The sequence below is a fragment of the Homo sapiens genome, chromosome X, assembly GCF_000001405.40.
Source record: "Homo sapiens chromosome X, GRCh38.p14 Primary Assembly".
NCBI lineage: Eukaryota > Metazoa > Chordata > Mammalia > Primates > Hominidae > Homo > Homo sapiens.
In genome coordinates, this window is record NC_000023.11 from 112,804,270 (window position 1) to 112,825,733 (window position 21,464).

A 21,464-nucleotide genomic window follows, 5' to 3' on the forward strand; every position below is an offset into this window, starting at 1 on the left:
AGCACAGCTTTTGGCCAGAGCATTTTTTCTGAAATAAGCTGTAAACTGTCCCTGGGTCCCATCCTGTCTCAGACCTCCCAAGATTGCTTCTATTCAAAAACCAATCTGCCAAGTAAGTCCAACAGTAAAAGATATGGCCAGCAAGAATCATTTCTGACCTGAGAGGGGACTGACTTCCCACTAAGCCTGGGTAGACAAGGGCTGTTCAGATTTCAAAATCCTTAGAGTACTTTAAGCTACCTAGAAGTATTTTCTAGTTTTATAAAGTTTTAAAATACCTGTAAGGGCAGAAATTAAAATATACATCTATACATATACATATCTATACATCTATGTCCATATATATATTTATATATCTGTCATAGGCTTATGGTACGGCTAGGTATATAGTAAGAGCTTGGAATATGGGGGCAGTGAGCTTATTATATGAATGAACAAATGGAAACTGTTTCTTGACCCTGGTGATTTCCTATTTTGGAGCAAAAGAAAAGAATTTACCAAGAAGAGAAAAGAAAGCAAAGTCCACTCACATCAGCACAGTGGAAACTAGGAGCAGCAGATGGCACCTCCCTTCTGGGGATTATGCAGCTGCCAATTCACCACAATGTGGAGCCCAGTGTCCCCGATTTCCCAGCCCTCCCACCCCCAGGCTCATATGCTACCTGAGGAAACCATACCTCTTCTTCCAGCTTTACCACCTTGGCCTGGGCATTACTCAGGGCCTGATCTCGGATTTCGATGTGTCGTCTTTGGTCCTCATTGGTAGAACGGGCAGTGGCCAGCTCCGCTTCCAGCTTCTCCTTCTCACGCTGGCTTTCTTTATCTGTCAGGACATTAAACATCAACACTGCCAGCCTGGAGCTAGCTCAAAGCCTTACCTGAGCAAAATTGACACATCATACCCTTTACTAGATAGCCTACTGCTCTAGTGCACAGCTGAAGAACCAGTATACCCAAGATCTGGACTCTATCACTGGCTCTCTCACTAACTTGTTGTAGAAATTCAGAAAAGTCACTTAACAACTTAATGGTTGTTGAGCAGAAGCAATGAGAAAATAGTTGTAACGTGTTCCAAAAATTATTAGGCATTATACAAAGAATACACACACACACACACACACACACACACACACACACACACACACACAGAGCCCTCAGAAGAAAAGGTAGGCTCATCTCCTCAATTTTATTTCTTCCAAATTGTCTTACATTGGCAAAAAGCAATTGAGCTCAAAACATTTTTCCAATTGTTTCCTCATGACAGTACATTAAATAGTGCTAAAAATGACATTTCATAAACTGGATAAAAGCTCATGCCCACCCTTCACACACTAACATCACTTTGTAACTGAGATCAAGTCTACTCGACAACATGTCCTCTCCACGGAAAACCTAACCCAACACCACCCCCTAACCCAACCCACTTTATCTCAGCATCTGCTTCTCTTGGGAATCCAATGTCTTTTAAAAGATAATACACTAAAACTGGAAGCCATGTTATGCTTTTATCCTACTCCTTCTCCAGTAGGATAGGCTAGGCGTGGAGGGAACACTGTAAAGAACAGGGCAAAGTTAGATGGAAAACATCAGGATCAGAGGAAGAAAGGCAGCCATTTCACCTGAAGAAAACATCCTCTATTTGTGAATCTCCTTTTCTCCCTTTAAGCCTATTAGAGTTTGAAAGTTCAGTTTTTTTTAAATAAAGTAATCCAATATGGCTGGGCACGGTGGCTCATGCCTGTAATCCCAGTACTTTGGGAGGCTGCGGTGGGCGGATCACGAGGTCAAGAGATAGAGACCATCCTGGCCAACATGGTGAAACGCTGTCTCTACTAAAAACACAAAAATTAGCTGGGCGTGGTGGCACACGACTGTAATCCCAGCTATTCGGGAGACTGAGGCAGGAGGCTGAGGCTGAACCCGGGAGGCAGAGGTTGCAGTAAGCCGAGATAGCACCACTGCACTCCAGCCTGGTGACAGAGCAAGACTCCATCTCAAAAAAATTAAAATTAAAAAAAAGTAATCCAATATGCTTGTGTGCTTACACACACACGTTTTATACATATGTATATATACATATGTATAAAACGTGTGTGTATATATATATATATATACTTGCATATATACAAAAACGTATGTGTGTATATAAATACTTGCATGTGTGTGCATATGTGTATACAAATATACTCTATGACCTTAGAATGGAAGAGCTTAGTGGGCAGATAATGGTCTTTCTGGCTTGGGTTTTAAAGAGAGCTCAGTTTAGCAGCACCTATATAATGAGCGTTTAATAAACATCTGTGGATGGATATAAGAAAAATAGAGGAAGAAAGCACCAGTATGAGACAGTAGCCAAAACTATAATTTTTAGGAGAATGAAGGAACATGATCACAAGCTAGCATTTGCATAAGTTAATACAGATTTATAAGTAATCCCTAAACAGATTTTACACTTTGGTCCATACACTATTCTTATCTCAATCTGCCCTCTTCTAGTGGCTGGCTGTACCTTGTTCCAGTACCCACAGCTAATGAGAATATCAGAATATTACACCTGAAGTGATATCACTGAATTCCAACGAAGTAATTCTCACTCTTCCCAAATAATCACTTAAAGATTTCATTGCTTGGTCCTAGTTGTAGATGTCTATTTGTGAAATGGACCCCTTGTGACTCCAGCAGGGAGAGGGAAAAAGGAACCATTATGAAATATGCCAGAGCATTCTGTTCTTAACAAGGCCTGCCCTCAAGAGAAACTATTTAACCAGAACCTAATCTATGAGTTTTTGGGATTTTGTTTGCTTGCTTGTTTGTTTCCAGAGCCTAACCGACCCACGGGAAAGGAAACATCCAACTCCAGTCTGCTCTGGCCTTCCACACGAGAGAAGGAAATAACCAGCTGAAGCCCTTTCTAGTGATCCTGCACCACCTAAAGGGGTGAAAAAAAACTGAGATGCACTTGTGAAGTTCAGTCCAGAGGCACAGGCTCACTAAAAGACTGAGACCTAATCATAGGTCTAGAGCACTTCCCTTTCCCCCAGATTTTACTATCACATCCTGAAAGGCCTATTTACCACAGTTGCCTTTTACCCCATACATCAGGTCTGCCATTTCACACACACACACGAAAAAACCTACAAGTCACACTAAAAGGTAAAATATACAGTTTGAAAAGACAGGGCAAGAATCAGAACCAGACCCCGAGATAAGGCAGGGATGCTGGAATTAACAGACTGGGAATTTAAAACAAATATGATTCATATGCTAACGGCTCTAATAAAAAAAGTAGACAGCATGCAAGATCAGATCAATAATATAAGCAGAAAGAAAGACATGTTAAGAAAGAATCAACAATGCTAGATGGTAAAACAGAGGTAACAATACCATCTTATTTAACCTCACAATATTTGTAAGGATCAAATGAGATAGAAGATTTATTTAAGTGAAAGAAATGTTAGAAAGCATAACCAAACACCAAAGGAACTTACTACATAAAGCAGATGATGATCATCATCACCACGATTAGTAATGAGAATCTGTAGCTTCAAAACCTTTCATTGTGATACAACAGATTCTGTACACTAATTTTTAGTATGAGAAAGTTGAGAGTCACCTGACCTATAAAATCAGCAATTCCATGTTTCTGAATCAAATCATTATAACTACAGGGGACCATGACACATGTAGTTATGTCCCTTGTCTTTCCTCTCCTCTTAACTAAGACAGACCTCACACCAGAAACTCAAACAAGTAGTTTCGATTTTTTGGAGGTTAAGTGCTCTTCATCTGGAGACTTAAACCTTAAGTTATAGGAGAAACTTCAATAGGGCAGTCTCACCTTCTTTCCCACTCTGACTTTGCATTTGGAAAGAAAGGAACATTCGTTGAATACGTATTGCATACCAGGTATTGTACTAGCTTAATCCTCAGAACAACCATACAAGGAAGGTACTATTCTCCTCTCCAATTTGCATATGAGAAAACAGAGACCCAGACAGCTTGACTAACTTGTACAAGGTCCCACAGTTGGTAAATAAGTAGTGGAGCCCTTATTTACACCCAGATTGGTTCTACTATACCGGGCTGCCTTCTTCTAGGGTTGAGTTGGTTTGGTTTCTCTAGGATTCCTGCAGTACATTCCCCAGAGACGCTTTTTGAGAGGGCTTTCCTTTCTCCTGCCACAGTTCCAACCATACAGGACCCTGTCAGTGTCCCAAGACGAAAGAAATTAGGAGGGACAAGAGTCATGCCCTCTTCCCTGGCTAGTTGATGAACTTCACTTTTCCTTCCTAGAGCCATTTGACAGTCTTTTGCCCTGCCGGTAATACCGTCTGATTTACTAAGTTACCACATTTTATAAACCTGTAAAGAGCTCCTAGGACACCTGAAATACCATCTCCACACAGAAAGGAGTATGATCTAGCTGATCCAGAACAAAGAATCTATACATTTTGTTTTGTTTTGATCTGAGAGTCTGCCACCCTCTTTCTGCCAGTGAACTAGCTCTGAGAGCAACTGTGATACCACAAAAGCAATTTCACAAAAATTTATACTAGGCACTGATGACACCAGAAAAACTACATTCCTTACTCTAAGATATGCTGACAAAGGAACAGGAGGTACAGGGAAAAGAAAAAGAAAAAACCTGTTCTGAAACCAGAGCACAACAGAACAACCCAGGAAGGGAGGGCAGTATTGTAAGTGAAGATCAAACGAACTTGTAAAAGCTGGCTAGAAGCTGCATGGAATGAGCTGAAAGGGTCATTTGGAGACCTAGCAAAGATGGAAGAGAATGGCAAATCCCTACTGAGCACAACTACAGCCAGAGCTACACTGAGGGAGACTGGGGGTAGAGGAAACTAGCTACCGGCATCTGCAGAAATGAGAGCAGTTCATGTTTCCCCCCGACTAATTCTCCCTGTGGACTCAATCCACTATGAAGTTTTTATTGCTGGTTTTATTAAGGCAATTGGAAATAATTAGACATTGTCTAGCTGGGTGGGGTCCATTAGACACTGATAAAGAAAAGGATTAATTCATTGTCATGGTCCTAGGAGTATTTCCAGACAAAGGAAACACTATTATGAGGAAGACACAGCTCTGCCCTCCCCCACATCCTCCAACTCTGCAGCCAGAGTCACTAGTTCAGGCCATAGGATTAGCTCCCCTTGCAATCTGCTGCTGTGTAACAATAAATACTAGGGAGCCCCAGGTACAGGTGAAGTATTCCAAACACTATCATCGATCCTGCATATTAATCCCATCTCTACCAGAGCCAACACACAGTTTCTTCTAAGAAAATCCCTTCAACATGAAGGGACCTCATGTTCAGTAAGCCTCTTTATTTAGATAGCAATGACACTAGCAGGGATTTCAAGGGGCTTCTCTAGTTTAATGCTGAAGGACCAATGTGATGTGACGAGATGTTGTGGCAAGCAGCCTTCTTGGCTTAGGAGGAAAAGAACAGAATCTTCCAACTTCATGCCTGAATAGGAAAAACAATCCTTAGGTGATATTGACTCTGCCCTGGCTGTTCTAAAAGGCTAAAGAGAACAGTGTAATCTTTTCACGCACCTTGCTCCCATCCACACGTTAATACCTGTTTCTGCAGCTTGCAGACTTACTTTTTGCAAAGAGCTGCGAGATGGTTTTTCTGGTGTCCTCTGACCCCTCATATTCCTTCTCTGCAAGCTGCTTGTTGGCAGTCTCTAGACGCTCTGTGAAATTTGGAGACAATCAACAGGGTCTCAAATGTAAACTTTCATGCACATACTATTGGCCCTCTAAATACTGACCTTTGGTAAAACAAGCCTGTTTCTTCTTGTTAAACAGGAATGGGTGACTAACATGAGTTTGCAAATGTGAATCCCAAAATAATACTAGACCATGGCCGGGGAGGAGGAGGTAAGTATTTAATGCTTTCACTCCTCACTGCCAAAACCTAAGTTAAGTGCAGAATTCTAAATTTCAATGAAATTATCCATCCCCAAATATATAAAGATATCTTTCATTAACCAGAAAAAAAAGAGTATCACAGTTATTATAAAGTATTTAAACTCATGTAATGTCAAAGTTGAAAGGGACAACTAGCAGCATGTATTTGGGCCCCCTGACTTTAAAGATAAAATAACCAAAATTCAAAGATAGTAACATCCCTGGCCGGGCACAGTGACTCATGCCTGTAATCCCAGCACTTTGGGAGGCCACGGTGGGTGGATCACCTGAGGTCAGGAGTTTAAGACCAGCATGGCCAACGTGGCAAAACCCCATCTCTACAAATACAAAAATTAGCCAGGCATGGTGGCGCACGCTGGTAATCCCAGCCAGCTACTCAGGAGGCTGAGGCAGGAGAATCACTTGAACCTGGGAGGTGGAGGTTGCAGTGAGCCGAGATTATGCCAGTGCTCTCCAGCCTGGGCGACAGTGCAAGACTCCAACTCAAAGAAAAAAAAAAGAAAAGAAAAAGGAAAAAAAAAAGAAAGTACCATCCCCAAGGTTAGCAGTTTTGAAGGTGCTGAAGGCACTTTAAAGTAGAAATATTTCCCAAAGTCTTCAATATTATCAGGTGAAAGTCAAAAATAAAAGGAGTCAGTCAGTCCTGGAAATAAGAGAGGACATTATACTTCAAGCTTGCAGTCAAAGGGCACGCCTCTGTAAAACCTGTTAAAAAGAAGAGGCAGCACCTATTGTGGGGGTGGGCCAGGTGGGTCCAGGAGTCCCAGCAGGGATCCTGCCTGATTAACACATCAGCTCATTGCTCAGAAGACCAGTGAGGTACATCCACACTTTGATCAATCAAGCTTGGGACTGAGGACTATTGCAGTCACAAAAAATTAGCCTGGCACATGCCCAGCCATTTACTGCCCATACCGGTGGGTTGGACAACCCCAAAGAGCCTAGTTGGATCCTGCTCAGCCCTTCCCTTCACCACCCTGCAGCTGCTTCAGAAGTACAAAGACAAGTCTGTTGGTTCCCTCACCTCTCAGATCCCTGTTGAAATCATGCATCCTCCGAATCTCGCCCTCTAGCTTGTTTCTCATGGCTTTCTCTAGGGCCTCTCTTTTGGAGGATGACTTCACGAGGTTCTCATATGCCTCCGAGACGCGCTGGATTTCTGTCTCCACCTTAACAACAAAAAAAGACAATGGTGGTGATGGTAGGAGGGTGATGGGGAAAATGGTCTGAAAACAAACAGGCAAATCCTCGCTGACAGCTTCTCCCAGGGCTCACAGATGGCCAGGAGGCAAGCATAACACAGTCAGATGACACAAGTTTCAAGAAAGGATCTCCACCTTCAACCATAAGCTTAGTAATTAACTCATGGTGTCATGGTCTTTCCTCGGGTTAAAAAAATAGACAATTTCTGCCTTCAGAGGAGATGGTAAGATAGAATAAATTTTATAAATAGTTATAAAGGATTTTAATTTCTGAAGAAAACTCTTAATTTTGAAAATATTAGTAATAATATATATAGTATGTAGATATTCCAAAGCATTCAAAGGGCTTTCACATGTTGGTTCCAGTCTGCACTGATTATCTGCCTAGACAGGATACCTCTTCTCATTTTAGTAGAGAGAAAAGTCAAATTGCCTCTGAAGATCAACTGTCAGCAGCAGAGACCAACCCTAAAAACCCCAAGCTTCATGAAGTAGTTCAGTTCAATTTAACAAACATTTACCAAGGGCCAAATATTTACACGAACTCTTTAAAGTACTATTGGGGGTGTGTAAATATGAATGAGAACATTCTCACTGCCCTCAGGGAGGTTTCAATCCAATCGAATGAAAGACTATAGGGCAAGATACATCTTTAAGAAAAGTAGAAGTAGTGCCATAAAGTACAGACAAGGAAGAAGTTATTCCTGGTTGGGGAAGTGGGGAGGAGAACAATTTCTGAGAAGAGGTGGCATTTACAGTCAGATCCTGAAAGCTGGGTCAGATTTCAATGAGCAGAGGTGAGGGGAAGGGTATTCTATTCTGAGTAAGCAAATGCATTCCCAGAATGACCAGTCGTTTAATTTGGCTGGACACTGTGGGGTACGCAGAGGGAACCTGGCGAGATATGGCTGCTAAGATAGATTGGAGTCAGATCATAAAATGCTTTTAATGCCAGGCATTTGGACTTTATCCCATAGTCAATGGGAAACCAGTATAGGTTTTTGAACACAAAATCATAATCAGAGTTGTGTTTTATGACACCCCTGCAAATCTCATAAAATGGGGAAAATAAACTCAGAGAGAAAGGGTCTTCCCCTGAATCAGCCACAATCAGGCCGAAAATGAGAAATTAGACTCCAGAGTTTTTCTGTAACTAGTATAGCTCCATTGCACATATAATAGCCACACAGATATTTGCATATAATTTGTATAAGACAAATAAACCCACGGTCTATTAAGCAATTTTCAGATTAAATTGGACTCTGCAACCATTCTGCATTGCTTCTGTGTTTTCCACTATCCTGTTTAACAAAGCTCAGGGTACTTTCAGGGAAGAAATATCAGGCCCCTAATGGGACACTAGGGGAAAGGTAAGGTTGCCAAACCAGTCAGATTCAACCCGCCTCCATCTCCAAAATTCTGCCAGAGACAGGACTGCCTGCAAACAAATAAGGCTTATGCCACAGAAAAGAGCAGACTCAAAAGTGTTTTTCTCTTCACAGATGGCACCAAGATAGCAGCACAGAAGGTGAAAACTGGTGAATGGCATTTAGAGACAAGATCTGCAAGGCCTGCGCCTGATGAAGCTTTTGCATGAAACTCAAGCGCTGGGGAGAGAAAATAAACATTTCCATCTGAAAGAGCAGGCTTGGTGTTGGTCTGCTCTGGGCAGCATTTATAGTTCAAGGCTGTCCGGTTGTGCACAGAATGCAACACCTAGAAGGTAGTCCCTTTCCTCAAGGTGTGCAGACTGCTATTTCAAGATCTTGTACTAATCCTTCCCCTACCCCCTGTGTAGATACTCCATCCTTCAAAAGGGCAAGTCCCACAGCTCTCAATAGGGCCTTCCAGGAAAAGCCATCACAGAAGGATATATCCACTGGTTTGGGCTGGGTGATGGTGGGGGCAGAGAGGAGGGTGGCAGTGGGTTTTCCAGACTTACTCTGTCTACTTATTCCCCTCATGAGCCTCAGGCCTTTTCATTTCCTCCAGCACTACCTGGGATCTACCTTAATTTTCCCCACTTTCCTTTTCCTCTCCTGGTCCACCTTCCCCTCTACTCTACCTCGACACTGGGTCAGCCTCTACTTTCCCAACATTCAAGCTGTTCCAGTTACACTTATTTGAGGCATCTTTTCCCATCTTGGGGAACAAACAACAGCAATCCTATTCTCTGTCCCTCTTCCCTGTCACTGGCTGAACCCACTCCCACACACACAAAAAATCACCATGGATCCTCTGGCAAAAAGGGCCCGTATTAGAGCTGGGTTCATCCTTCAGTGATTGTATCAAAGATGGGCTGGGATCACCATGAAGAGAGAGTTTGGAGAGGGGGTGTCAACTGTTAGCCTAATCAGCCAGACTGGGTTTCTAGTGTATGGATATAATTAATTTATTTCACCAAAGCGATGGGGATAGGGATATAGTTAAAATTTGCGGGTGAAAATACAAAATCAGGGAAAAGCCGGGAAGAAACAATTCTCAGAGCACTCCAACAACCCTCATCCAGATTTAGGAAAACTAAGGGACAGGGAAGCCATTTTCCTATATAAAAATCCTCTGTTTGCCAGGCGCAGTGGCTCACGCCTATAATCCCAGCACTTTGGGAGACCAAGGCGGGCGGATCACCTGAGGTCGGGAGTTCGAGACCAGCCTGGCCAACATGGAGAAACCCCGTCTCTACTAAAAATACAAAATTAGCCAGGCGTGGTGACACATGCCTGTAATCCCAGCTACTCAGGAGGCTGAGGCAGGAGAACTGCTTGAACCCAGGAGGCGGAAGTTGCAGTGAGTGGAGATCGTGCCATTGCACTGCAGGCTAGGTAACAAGAGCGAGACTCCGTCTCAAAAAAAAAAAAAAAGAAAGAAAGAAAAAAAATCATCTGCTGATAATAAGCCCCTGTCTCCTTGAGGCCCCCAGATTTGGTGTCTGTTTACAAATACTCAGCTTCATTCAGGCCTCTGAAATTTTCACTCCTGGTGTTTCCTAAGGACAGAGTTGCTGGACAATACAAGGCATCCTCCTGTCCCTCCCCCACCTTCACCCTCACCTCTCTGAACAGTTCACATTGTAGGGAGACCAAACCACAATAGCTCCACAATGACAAAAGCTGCAAAGAAGCGGCCAAAGGCATAACCCTATTCACCAGCAGCCCCTGGAAGCCAAGAGCTAAGGTTCCTCGCTTGGGGTACTCCAGAGGTAAAGTCCCAATGGGGGTGGGCAGAGAAGAATGTGAACTGGAGATACACTCCTTTTTCTATTTCCTCAGCCTAGGGCTGTCACCTGTCACCCAGCTGTGGTGTTAAGCCCCTCCTGCCCCCCACATACAACAGAGAAAGAGAGCAGATGTTGAATTTGAGCTGCAGGGAGGGACCAAATCAAAGGGTGGGGTGGAGGGATTGTTGAAAGAGAGTTACTATGAGAACTCCCACTAGGAAAAAGTATTCTGAGCCTTTTCCAGAACAAGGCAGGACTGCTCAAACTTTAGCTGGTGAGATTTTTCTAGGAACTACATTTATTTTTATATTTAAGATTCAAATTCATATTTGGGAAAATGTGACCAAGACAATGAGCCTTAAGGTGCCGTCAGATCCTTTACCTATAAAGGCATCACCAGTATTCTTATCAAGAAGTATCACTGCCTTTTGGAATTCTAAAAGAATTAATCACGTTTTCTTTAGGGCTATAGCGTCTGGAAAAACTGCATAAATTTTTTTCTCCTTGTGTAAATGTAAGACGTTACTTCTCCTAGGTAGACAGGTAGAAGGCTTTTTCCAAAGTTTGACTCATATCTAACCTTCAGATATAAAAATCCTGAAGACCTGCCACAAGTAATGCTGGGATTCACAACTGGAGACTTTAATGTGGATATTAAACAAGTCTCACAAATAAAGACTTAGAGACCCTAATATCCCAAAACGGAAGCCTCACCTTCTGCAGTCTTGCCACCTTCTCATAGCATCCTTCCAACTCTTGCCTCAAGTTCCGGTTCTCGTCTGAGAGGATCTCAACCATCTGCTGGGCTCTGGAAACAATGGCAAAAGGGTCTGCTGGCACTGGCTGATAAGAAGCAGAGGATGGCTGAGCCCGAGGCATAGCTGAATAGGCTTCTCCTGGCTGCTGCTGTGGCTGCTGCTGCTGCTGTTGTTGGTGGTGATGGTGATGATGGTGCTGCTGCTGCTGTTGCTGCTGCTGCTGACTCAGGCCAGGTTGGGAGAGACGGTAATGATCCCCCTGGTGAGCCTGATTAGGAAGGAAATGCTGCTGCGGCCTAGGCAGGTGAGCTGAATGGTCTCCCTGGTTTGGGACCAAGGGGTGTCGGGCAGGAGACAATCTAGTGGATGGTGGAGATTGTAGCAAGGGCAAGGACCCCCCAGAGGTCAGAGAAGAAGTAGGGCTGTGAGGCTGCGAGTTCCTGGCTGACAATGGCAATGAGATGTCCTGCGCTGGCCTGTAAAACATGAAGGGCAGGTGCGGGTTAATTTCTCTCCTAAGGCACTGGGGGAGAAGGGCACACAAAAGTGAGATGAGGAGGCTTCTGATGCCCCCAGGACACCTGCAAAATGAAGAGCAGGCAGGGTCTGACTATGGGGAAGTCTAACCCTGCCTGCTCTATCTCTGCAAAGACCACAGCCCTTTTCCAGCCTGACCTTCTGTGCCTCTGCCTGACAAACAGAGGTGTGATCCCATGAGGGTCAGAACCAGACAACTTCCATGGTCACTTTGTGAAAATCGTAGTGATACACACCTGTACACCCGTTTGCTCAAGTCTAAACATTTCAAACGATTCTTCTACAAGGTAATTTTCATCTCATTATTTTAAATTAAACCTTTTCTGACATTATACACGTGGTCCAGCACACATAAAGATCCTAGTTTAGAAACTATGTTCCATTTGCCAGGATGGAAACAACAAACAGCCATAAAAACCACCCCCATCTTGCTATCTGCAACTCCCTTTAGTAATTCATACATTCACAAAAAAAAAGAAAAAAAACTATTCAAGGATTGGTAGATACTTATATTAGAGACACTAAATGATTATTGTTGCTTCCAGTTGTTAACGATTTAATGATTCCCATTAGCAGTAACCATAAAAAGACTTGAAGAGGGTTACAAGCAATGCTAACATACTATTTTTGATGTAATGAATCGCAAAATGTAAGAACTGGAAAGGCCTTAAAAGAAAATTATTTAGTTCAACTCTATCACTGGACAGATGGGGAATGAGGTCCAGAAAGGGGAAGTCATCTGCCAAATATTAGAGTGGTGGTGCCAAGATAGAATCCTTCTTTCCCAATTCCCATTTTCTGGCTTTTTCTACTGCCATAATGCATTGATTTCTGTGCACTGATACTTAGATTTCCAACCTATTGCTCATAGAAAGTTCCAGAAAGAGACCTTTGGTACATTGTTTAATGTGGCTCTCCCATTTTTGTACCTAATTACCAGGTACAAAATGCTAACACCTAAGTATAAATAATTCATACCTAATGACTATTAGCCATTAAGGGAAACAATTAGTATGTGGATGGATCACTTCCACCATCACCACTACCAGGAATAGTATCTGTCAGTGTGCACTGAAGACAAAAAGCTTGTTCATGCCCTAGCTCATGCCCAATTAACCTCATATGCTCCCATGTCCTGTGGACACTTGTTCTACAGTTGATATTTCTCAATCCAGGGAAGACAGATGGCTAAGTGCATGGGATCTGGATCCCAACAGAGGGAGTCTGGAGACCTCTTCTACTGCTCACGAGCTGTGTAACTTGGTGCAAGTTACTTAATCTGCATGAGCCCATTTTATTCTTGAGGTCACAAATAAATTGCAAAAATACTGGGGTCTTCTCATTTTTGGCGGAATAGGAATTACAGTCACTTCTCTACCTCCCAGTGAGATAAGCTGACCTTGTTAGCTTGTTACTTAAAGGATATCCATTTAATCTTTGCAATAAATTGCATAAAATTCATGGTGGAACTGGGACAAATCACCAGGAGCAATTAACTTTTAACTGGCATTCCAGATGCTAAAGCACATTCCTCAGACACACACTCCAGTTACCATTACTGTTCATGTATCCATCTTTACAAGAGATCTTAACTATAAGGGCTTTTTACAGCTACAAAATCATTCCAAACACTTTCTCATGGATACCCAATAACCTACATCTTCCCCAAGAGTCCTCAAACCTGTACAAACCCTGGATTCTGTCGCTCAGGCCCATCTATGCCTCTGGTGTACCCACATTCTTCCAATCACATACATCTGTCATTATAAATAATTGCTGAATATTGAAGAGGGCATGCGAACTATTTGGGCAAAGAAGAATTGACATGGTACTCATAAGTACAACTGGAAAGTTGCTGCCATACATAATATTTTTCCCCAGAGCTCAAAGCACTCATTCAATCAAAAGCCTGGGAGTTATTTATACATTTATTTGGTGAAGAGCTCCTATTTTCCATTCTATGGATCTTCAGTTTCCTCACAGGTAAAAGACTAAGTGCTCTTTTTTCTCTTTGAATGAGAGCTATTACAATTTCTACATGCCTACAGAGTTAAAATATAATGTCCTGAGATTTGTTGGGGCTTGTGTGTCTCTTTTCTGCTTTGTGGGCAGAAAAGAGGGGCTTAAGTTTCATGTTCTCCAATGCAGCTCTCAAATTTTAAGGGAAAAAAATCACTATATTAACCTTCATTTTTGTTCCCAGGATTTGCAGTCCAAGGCCTGGGAGGTATTCTCTTTTAAAGACTGAACGCCCAGTTCTGAAATGGGCTTTCTCTCCACAGCTCCCCTGGGCCTCATCAAGCAACCCAGGCCTCTCTCTCAAACAAACTCAGCCACTGGCCTCCCTCCTGCCTGGAGACTGAAAGGCCCCTGCATTCCCTGGACAACAGCACATGGCCTTCCAGGGACCTTGGGAAGGAGGAGACCATGAGGTCTCCAGAAGGAGGTCTCTGGGGTCAGATAAGCTGAGGATGAAGATAAGCAGAGACAAGGCAGCTGCCCCTCAATTCCCCAGGCTGGAAAAGGAAGCAGATCTCAGTGCACCGTGATGTTGGGAAAACCAAGGCAGCCCGTCACTGGCTGGTTTGCAAACCAGCAATGGCTTGGGCAGTCACAAAGGGAGAGAAAGCCCTTCAGTGAAGAACTCAATCTGGGCTCCAGCATCCACCCACCAGGGGAAAGCAGGACGGAATGAACACTGGGGTGAAGCTCCCCGTGAGAAAAAGAGATTAAGGAATGACGGGGTAAGGGAGAGTTGGAGGGGGCGGATGTCAGAGGAAGCCAAAATACACCCCAAGTTAAATAATAACAGTAAAAGTAATGACAGTAATAATAAAGGTGGCAGCCATGTGAGCAGCACACTCTCCAGGTCCTTCCAGCACACAGCAGCCTGAATCGCTCCCCACTGACACGTTAACCAGGAACAACAAGCCGCCTGCAGACAACAGAATCACATGATTCCATGCAAGCCCTGACCTGCCTCCTGCCACTTCCGTCCCCTCATCCTGCTCCTTCCTAAGGCTACCTGGGCCACTGGGGCTCTGCAGAAAAGGGGACATAGCATACATGCAGGACAAAGGCCAGTGACTAAAATCAGGATCCTCCCCAAAGCTGGGAAGTGGGGTAGGGTGGGGGGTACACTCCTCCCAGAGACAGTAGTAAGGACTCAAAGGGAAAGTAAAAGCCACTCTACCCAGCTGACACAGCACCTTCCACCCTGCCACCTCGATGACTGGGAGCCCTCACCCTCCCCAGCCACACACACATGCACACATGTGCATGCACACACACACTCCACACTCCTGGCACACACATGTGCAATCCTGCACACACACTCTCACCAGAGCAGGTGCCACCCAATAGCCTGGAACTTGATTGATCCTCACCACAGAAACTGCCTTTCCCAGGCTCTGCAATGGTGAATCGGTGAATCTGTGAATCCTGGAGCAGGCTGCAAATTCCTGATGGTTTCTCTTGCACAACCAGCTCTGCTCTGAACTACAGAGTTAGGTCACCCTTAGATTCCACTAAACAAGGATTTCAAGAAACCTCAGATCTGGGCATGATTTCAACAATTGAAAGGAGGTGGCTGCTTTATAAACAGAAATGATTTAATTTTTAAAAGCAGTTGATAAATGTATAAACCCAGGATGCAGAAAAGGTTCAGCACTTAGAAAGACAAAGATTCTGAAATTTTAAAATTATTCAGATAGCCTTTGCCTTGTTTCTCATCTGGGGTTCTGGGCATTCAAGGTATTTATTTTTTAAGGGGAGGAGGGCATAAGAAAGATGAAGTAATAAAAGGATTGTTTATAATTTTGTTCATTTTAACAGCAAATCTCCAGCAGTTCACTGCACCTCGAAAAGCAAGCAAATGTTTTCTTAACAGCAATTTGTTCAAAGAGTTTGCTTTGCATCCTGACTTGTAATTTGTGGATTAAGGGCTCAGAATGTAGTCTTCTAATTGGTTGCTGCTAGCAGCAGTTACTTGGAAAGGTACTCACAAACTGTATAGCTAGTTGGTTAAAGGAAATAAAGGAGGGAAAATGTGTCACCACCTTAAAGCAGTACACTTCTGGAAAGCAGTTCAACTACCTCCTTTTGCCAGTAATTTGTCAATAGGTGCCACTCCCTCATGTAGGGCCCTGCAACAATTTTACGGCCAGTATTTGCCTGATGCAGACCCAAATTTCATATGGAGCATCCTCCCACTAGGGCCATTTTAGGTTTGCTTATTCATCAAGCATTATCAAGCACTCTGCTCCTTTCCCATAGAGAAAAACCTGTTACAGCAAAACTGTGTATTAAAATGCTGCTCAACAAGGGTAGATCATCATGGGCTCTGTTGCTTTTGAGGACAGAAAGAAAGAGAAATCCACAGATAACTTAGGTGGGAGGATAAAAAATATGTATCTTCCTGTAAAATACATGCAGCTAAATTTCTCCGGTGGTTTAATCAGGATGGGAAGAAAAGGAAAAAAAAAGAAAACCTCTTTGGGCTCCTCATTATTTATTTAGGCAGATCAAAGGGCAGATAATTTTCCATCTAGCTTCAAACACTGTGGGAGTCATTTCAGATCACAAACAATACTGGTGAATGAGTTCTGAAAATAGCTTTCCTGGGAAGGCGGGCTGTGTGCTGAGTGGGGCTGTGGCTTCTGCTCCACACCCCAGCCAACACACTCCCCTCCCACAAGGCAACAGACATCAGCCCATCAACAGACTCTTCCATACTGATGGGAAAAGCAAAATAAAAACCCCCAGCTTCATTGATATTTTGCTGGCTTGAATGGGTTTCCACTAAGTGAGGCAGTCTTGAACAGACCAACCCCTCCCTGGGTCTTCTGTTTCATTGGTCAGATGGGAATCTGGTTCTTGATCTCTTTTAAACCTGAGTAGCCTTGTTGGTTACCCCATTTCCTGTTCCAAGACACTGATCAGAACATAGGCTCCTGCCCTTTGAAAGCTGCACAGAGGAGGTTGAAAAGGGTTAGGAAATCAACCTGGGTTAAGAGGGAAAAAAAAAAAAAAATCCTAAACTGGCAAAGTTAGAGGTGGAGTCCAAAGTGAATTGCCTCTGGCTACAAAAACAGGACCTGCAGGGGAAAAAAAAGAAATACCAGGAAATGCTAGGTGCCTTCTCTCACTTTCACCCTACTCCACCCCATGACTGCCTTCTCTCCTGAGTCACTCAATGAACTTCAAGCCAGAAGGTTTTTTCCAAAATGAGCAAGTAGGGTACAGGAGACAAAGAGGTAGACATCAAAGGACATCACAGACCTAGTCTGTGAGCCGCATATAAATGAAGGCCAGCCTAGGACCAAGCACTTCAAACCTGATGGTCACCCATCATTACTCATGGCCATGAGGCAGGATACCACACTTAAATGCCACCATCGGTCCCCATGGTTTAAACCTTTTCTCCTGCCCTATATGTGGAAATACTACTGATCAGAGACATGGCCCAAATACTAACAACAGGAACAATGAACAGAATCATAGAATCATAAGGTCTAGTGAATATAGCAGTGGGACAATGGACCTCTGAATAATTAAGAAGTATATATAGGAACAACTAAATATATAAGACAGAAATGGTAATATTTTTCCTTCTGTATTTTAGCATCTGACCAAAATTTCTATATGATGTGATGGGAATTTAACTCAGAGGTTTAAAAATGTGACAGGCAACTAATAAATTCTCTACAAAAAAAAGATACAACAGTCCAGATTTCATAAACTGCAAGCATAAGGCAAGTAACATTCTGAACCTACATACATACATAGCTCCCCCACCATAACATCTGGGTGTTTGTTTAGTCCAAAAGAATAATGGTAATTCTATGGAAAAATGGTAACTGACAAGAAATACACAGATTTGTTTGCAAAAATAAATGATGAAAGCTTCATGGAGGGGAATATGTGCAAGTGATAGGATGTTCCAGACTAATTAAAGTGCAAGGTAATTTGCTTCTACCTCTCAAGGAGGGCTTATGAGAAACACAGACCCCTTCAACATCCTAGGAGAGAGGACAGCAAATAGCTGCTGAAAACAAGACTTTTGCTCCTGTTCGTCCACTAGGCAGTTGAGGCCATGCTCAACCTACAAAGCTAAGGGATTGTTAATACAGTGCTAATTATGGCTAAAGAGGATACAAATTCGGGTTGGCAGGCAATTCACGAAGCCAGAGGCCTGTCATGCATTGCAGAGTTTGTTATATCAAACACCTGCCCGTTCCTTCCCTAAGATTCCCAACACACAGCAGAAGCTGGTTGGGGATGAGGTCAGGAAATGACAGAAACAGAACTCTCTTACCTGGCTGCTCCATACTCAGGGGGATGCTGATACCTCATCAGTTGCCCCTCTGTTCTCCCTGGCTGGTTCAGGCGATGCTCACTATAGAAGTGCCCTGGCTCTTGGGGCTTGCACACTACAGATTGGGGTGGCATGCCCTTGAAGGGATATTCTGGTGGGGGGCCTCGGTGTTCCATGCCCTTCAGGCTATGCTGGTTAGGAAGTGGCCCTTGGGCCTTGTAGAATTCACTGGAACTTGTGGGATTCTTGTAGAGGTCATTGGGTTGTGGTGGGGAGAGGGGAGCACTGGTAACAGGTGGATGGGCCTTAACTCCACTGGTGGCCAGTGACATCTGCATTAGTCGTTCACTCAAGGAACGGACATGCCCTTGCTTAAGGTCTCTGAGTCCCTCATCTTGGTGCATCTTTCCAGGATTGAGCCGCTGAACTGATGGGCGTCCCTCAGTCCTCATCTTCTGGTTGGTGACTCCAGTGACATAGAAGGCAGCTCCAACACTGGCATGCTGTTGGCCCCGAAAGTACTGGGACTGGACCTTGGCTTCTTCATAGGTCGGGAGTTCTTCATTATTTTGCATTCGAGGAGACAGCTGCTTCTCCATGATGAGGTTTTCTGACTGGATTTCCTGCCCCTGGGGTTCTTGTCGAGCAGCATGAGCCACAAGCTGTTGGTGGTGGTCTTGGGGACTCAACACATCACTCTGAGGGCCCGGGTTCCCACTGCCACTGGGGAAAGGAGGGCCATTCCCTGTGGCTTGCTGGTGTATGGCAAGCAGGCTGCGATTCTCACTAGGATTGCCATAGCGAAGCTGCTCTTGTAGCAAACGCTGCAATACCGTGGTCCCTCCACTTGGCTGTTCTTCAGAATTTCTCATCTCTATTGCTGGTGGTGCCTTGTGAAGAGAGAGAGAAATTGGGCACCTGGGCTGCCCTTGACCTGGGAAGGGGAAACAGGAAGCTTAACACCCAGTTGATGGATAAATCAGTCCTCTAAAGGGAAAGAAAATGGATATTGGAGGGTGAGGATTCGATTGCAGAAACAAAGTAGAGAATTGACTCTAAAATTAATAGATTGTTGGGGATTCCAGGCCCTAGCACTGATATGATGAAGAACATGGAGGCATAAGAGCTCTAGGTTTTCTCTTTCACTTTTAGCATGAGTTAAATATTCAATCTGGACTTAACTCCTAAGAATGCTTGAGAAACCTGGAACAGTCAACTAGGGTAATCAAAGGGGGTAACTTTTCAAGGTCCATATTCACAGGCTTCATCTCTCTGTATTCTATTTAAAGCAAAAACCCAAATCTTATGGCTGTGGAGGTGGGGGCAGGACAGTGGGGAAAGTTACCCCATAACAGGATTTGTAAAGCAGCTCAGCATATGAAGGCAGCTACAAAATGCAAAATAAAGACTCAAATAAATAAAAGGTGAAGAGAGCTTGGCTTGCACCAGACAGTAATGATCCCTGCCTCGATGCAAATCTTTTTCTCTGATCTCATAAGGCTCTGAAACATCTTTTTAAAAAATCATTTTCATAGTCTCCATTTTGGATGCTCCTTGGCTTAATAAGAGAAGGACTTGGAATACTTATTACTGACAAAGTTGCCTTTCAGCTCTCCAGAAACAGTCATTTAGATTTGCTGTTATTGTTATTGGGTAGAAGCTTAAAGGGGAAGCCTCTTTTATTTGAAGTGTGCCTCTGACAAAATTTAGAAATTGAAAAATATAAAGATCATCCTTCTGGAAAGGGTATACGATTAGCATATCCCCTCCCTCACCATCAATTCTTCTGAACAGGTACTATGGGTTGACTGAAACTGATTTTAGTAACACAATTTAATATTCAAATTCTAATCATACTATTGGTTTACAGGGTATACAACTGATTCCTCTTTTCTTGATGTCTATTTTCTCAACAAAAAATGGCTGGTAGGTGATTTCTCTCTCTCAGCACTGTATAGTACACACTAATTCATTAGAGATTCAAAAATTCTTTGGGCAGAATCTGTCAATGTTAAGTATTGGAATTAAGTAATAATGTTCAATAATGAAACTTTCACTCTAAGGATCTTCAGTAATTGGTGGAGAATGAACATAATGTCACACGAAAAGTCACAATAAAGGTCAGTTTAACCAGCATCAGGTTTCTAGATGGCAACTCTGGATCCCTGGCTCCCAGGCTCTTATTTCTATGATATTAAGTGGCCTGCAATCTCTCTGGAAACACGAACCCCTTTCTTTTGGTCATGCAGAGAGAGAGTGACCCAGAATGTACATATAGTATATGAAGAAAGTTCATCTTCTCTCTTTCTTCACGTCTTGTTGGTTACTGCTACCTGGCTTCCAACTGTTGCGCTGGGCAGTCTGACAACACGAAGGGACCCTCCAAAGTCCCTCTCATCATATTCTCTTGGGAAGTGCACACCAGTGGGTTAAGCAACCCAGTCCCTTTTCCATTCCTCCCAATGTGCCTCCAGGACTCCTGTACTTGAACTGTCAAATTGGGATATTCTGATAGGCTGACAAGCATAATATATAAATCCTTTTTGGTGCCCAAAACTAGAGAGATGACTACCAAATTACTTTTCCCTGCTCACAAACTGGAAACAGGAACAAGTATGGTGTTAAAGCAAAAGTGATTTACAAACCCTCCCTGTAAGGCAGGGAAATGCAGACACTGAGCTGCCCTGGACCCTGAAAAGTATACCACCCCCTCCCACGTCACACCCACCCCACCCAGCATGCACACAGGCACACATGCATACACACATGCACGAGCGTGTGCACACACACACACACACACACAGAAATATTCCATACCTATTTCTGCTTTCTTTTAGGCTTAAAGCCTTGATCAGGATAGGGAATTCTTGCTTATGAGCAGCTCCAGAAACCGCAACGGCAGATTCCCTCTCCCCTAACACTCAGGTTCAGGGTAAGCGCCGCCAAGAGTCCAACCACTGGTCACTCTGAAATGTTCAGGAGAGGGAGGGAGGGAGAAATAAAAACGTCGTTTCTATTTTGCCACCAATGGCCAGCAGTTAATCAAACCAGTTCTTCCAAGAGAATGACTTGTCCTCCTATGGTGCTTGGCTTTTAAATGAGTAGCAGAGTCCATCTCCACTAGGGCAGAAAAGAAACCTCAGTGTCCAGTAGCTGTGTCCGGAAGGCCAGGCCAGTCTCCAGTGATGGAAATGTTCAGGTCTGAGACTTGCTCTGTTCTGACCTCACAGCCCTAGAAAGCTACCACTTCCATTCCAAGTTGGAATGGTGGATGATGACAAAAGCCAAAACCACTGTCACCTTTAGGGTGCAAACTTTAAACTGCTATTAGTAGCAGGGGAGGTTAGTGAGGCTCACTGTCCCACATCCCAGAAGGGAGGGCAGTCATCATAAGGTAGGTTTTTGGTCAAAAAAAGAACACTCAGTGAGGCTCCCAATTTGAGTGCCTCAAGCTCAGATAGGTGGAGGGGAGGGGAAGA

At 43.6% G+C, this 21,464-nt stretch overlaps 1 protein-coding gene across 7 annotated transcripts in view; it reads right to left on the bottom strand.

The window, feature by feature from the left end:
- AMOT (angiomotin) overlaps nt 1-21,464 on the bottom strand; it is a 65,955-nt gene that overhangs the window by 29,393 nt on the left and 15,098 nt on the right. For 5 of the 7 annotated variants that reach the window (NM_001113490.2, NM_001386998.1, XM_047441856.1 and 2 more), the window contains 6 exons: nt 20,803-20,951; nt 17,986-18,919; nt 11,089-11,608; nt 6,980-7,124; nt 5,625-5,717; nt 678-823 (listed from right to left, as the gene is read on the bottom strand). In NM_001113490.2, coding sequence (NP_001106962.1) covers nt 678-823; nt 5,625-5,717; nt 6,980-7,124; nt 11,089-11,608; nt 17,986-18,857 — 1,776 coding nt within the window. In that variant the 5' untranslated portion in view covers nt 18,858-18,919; nt 20,803-20,951. Of the gene's footprint in view, nt 1-677; nt 824-5,624; nt 5,718-6,979; nt 7,125-11,088; nt 11,609-15,055; nt 15,170-17,985; nt 18,920-20,802; nt 20,952-21,464 lie in introns of those variants that run through there. The other 2 variants (XM_005262090.1, NM_133265.5) reach the window with 2 other exon arrangements.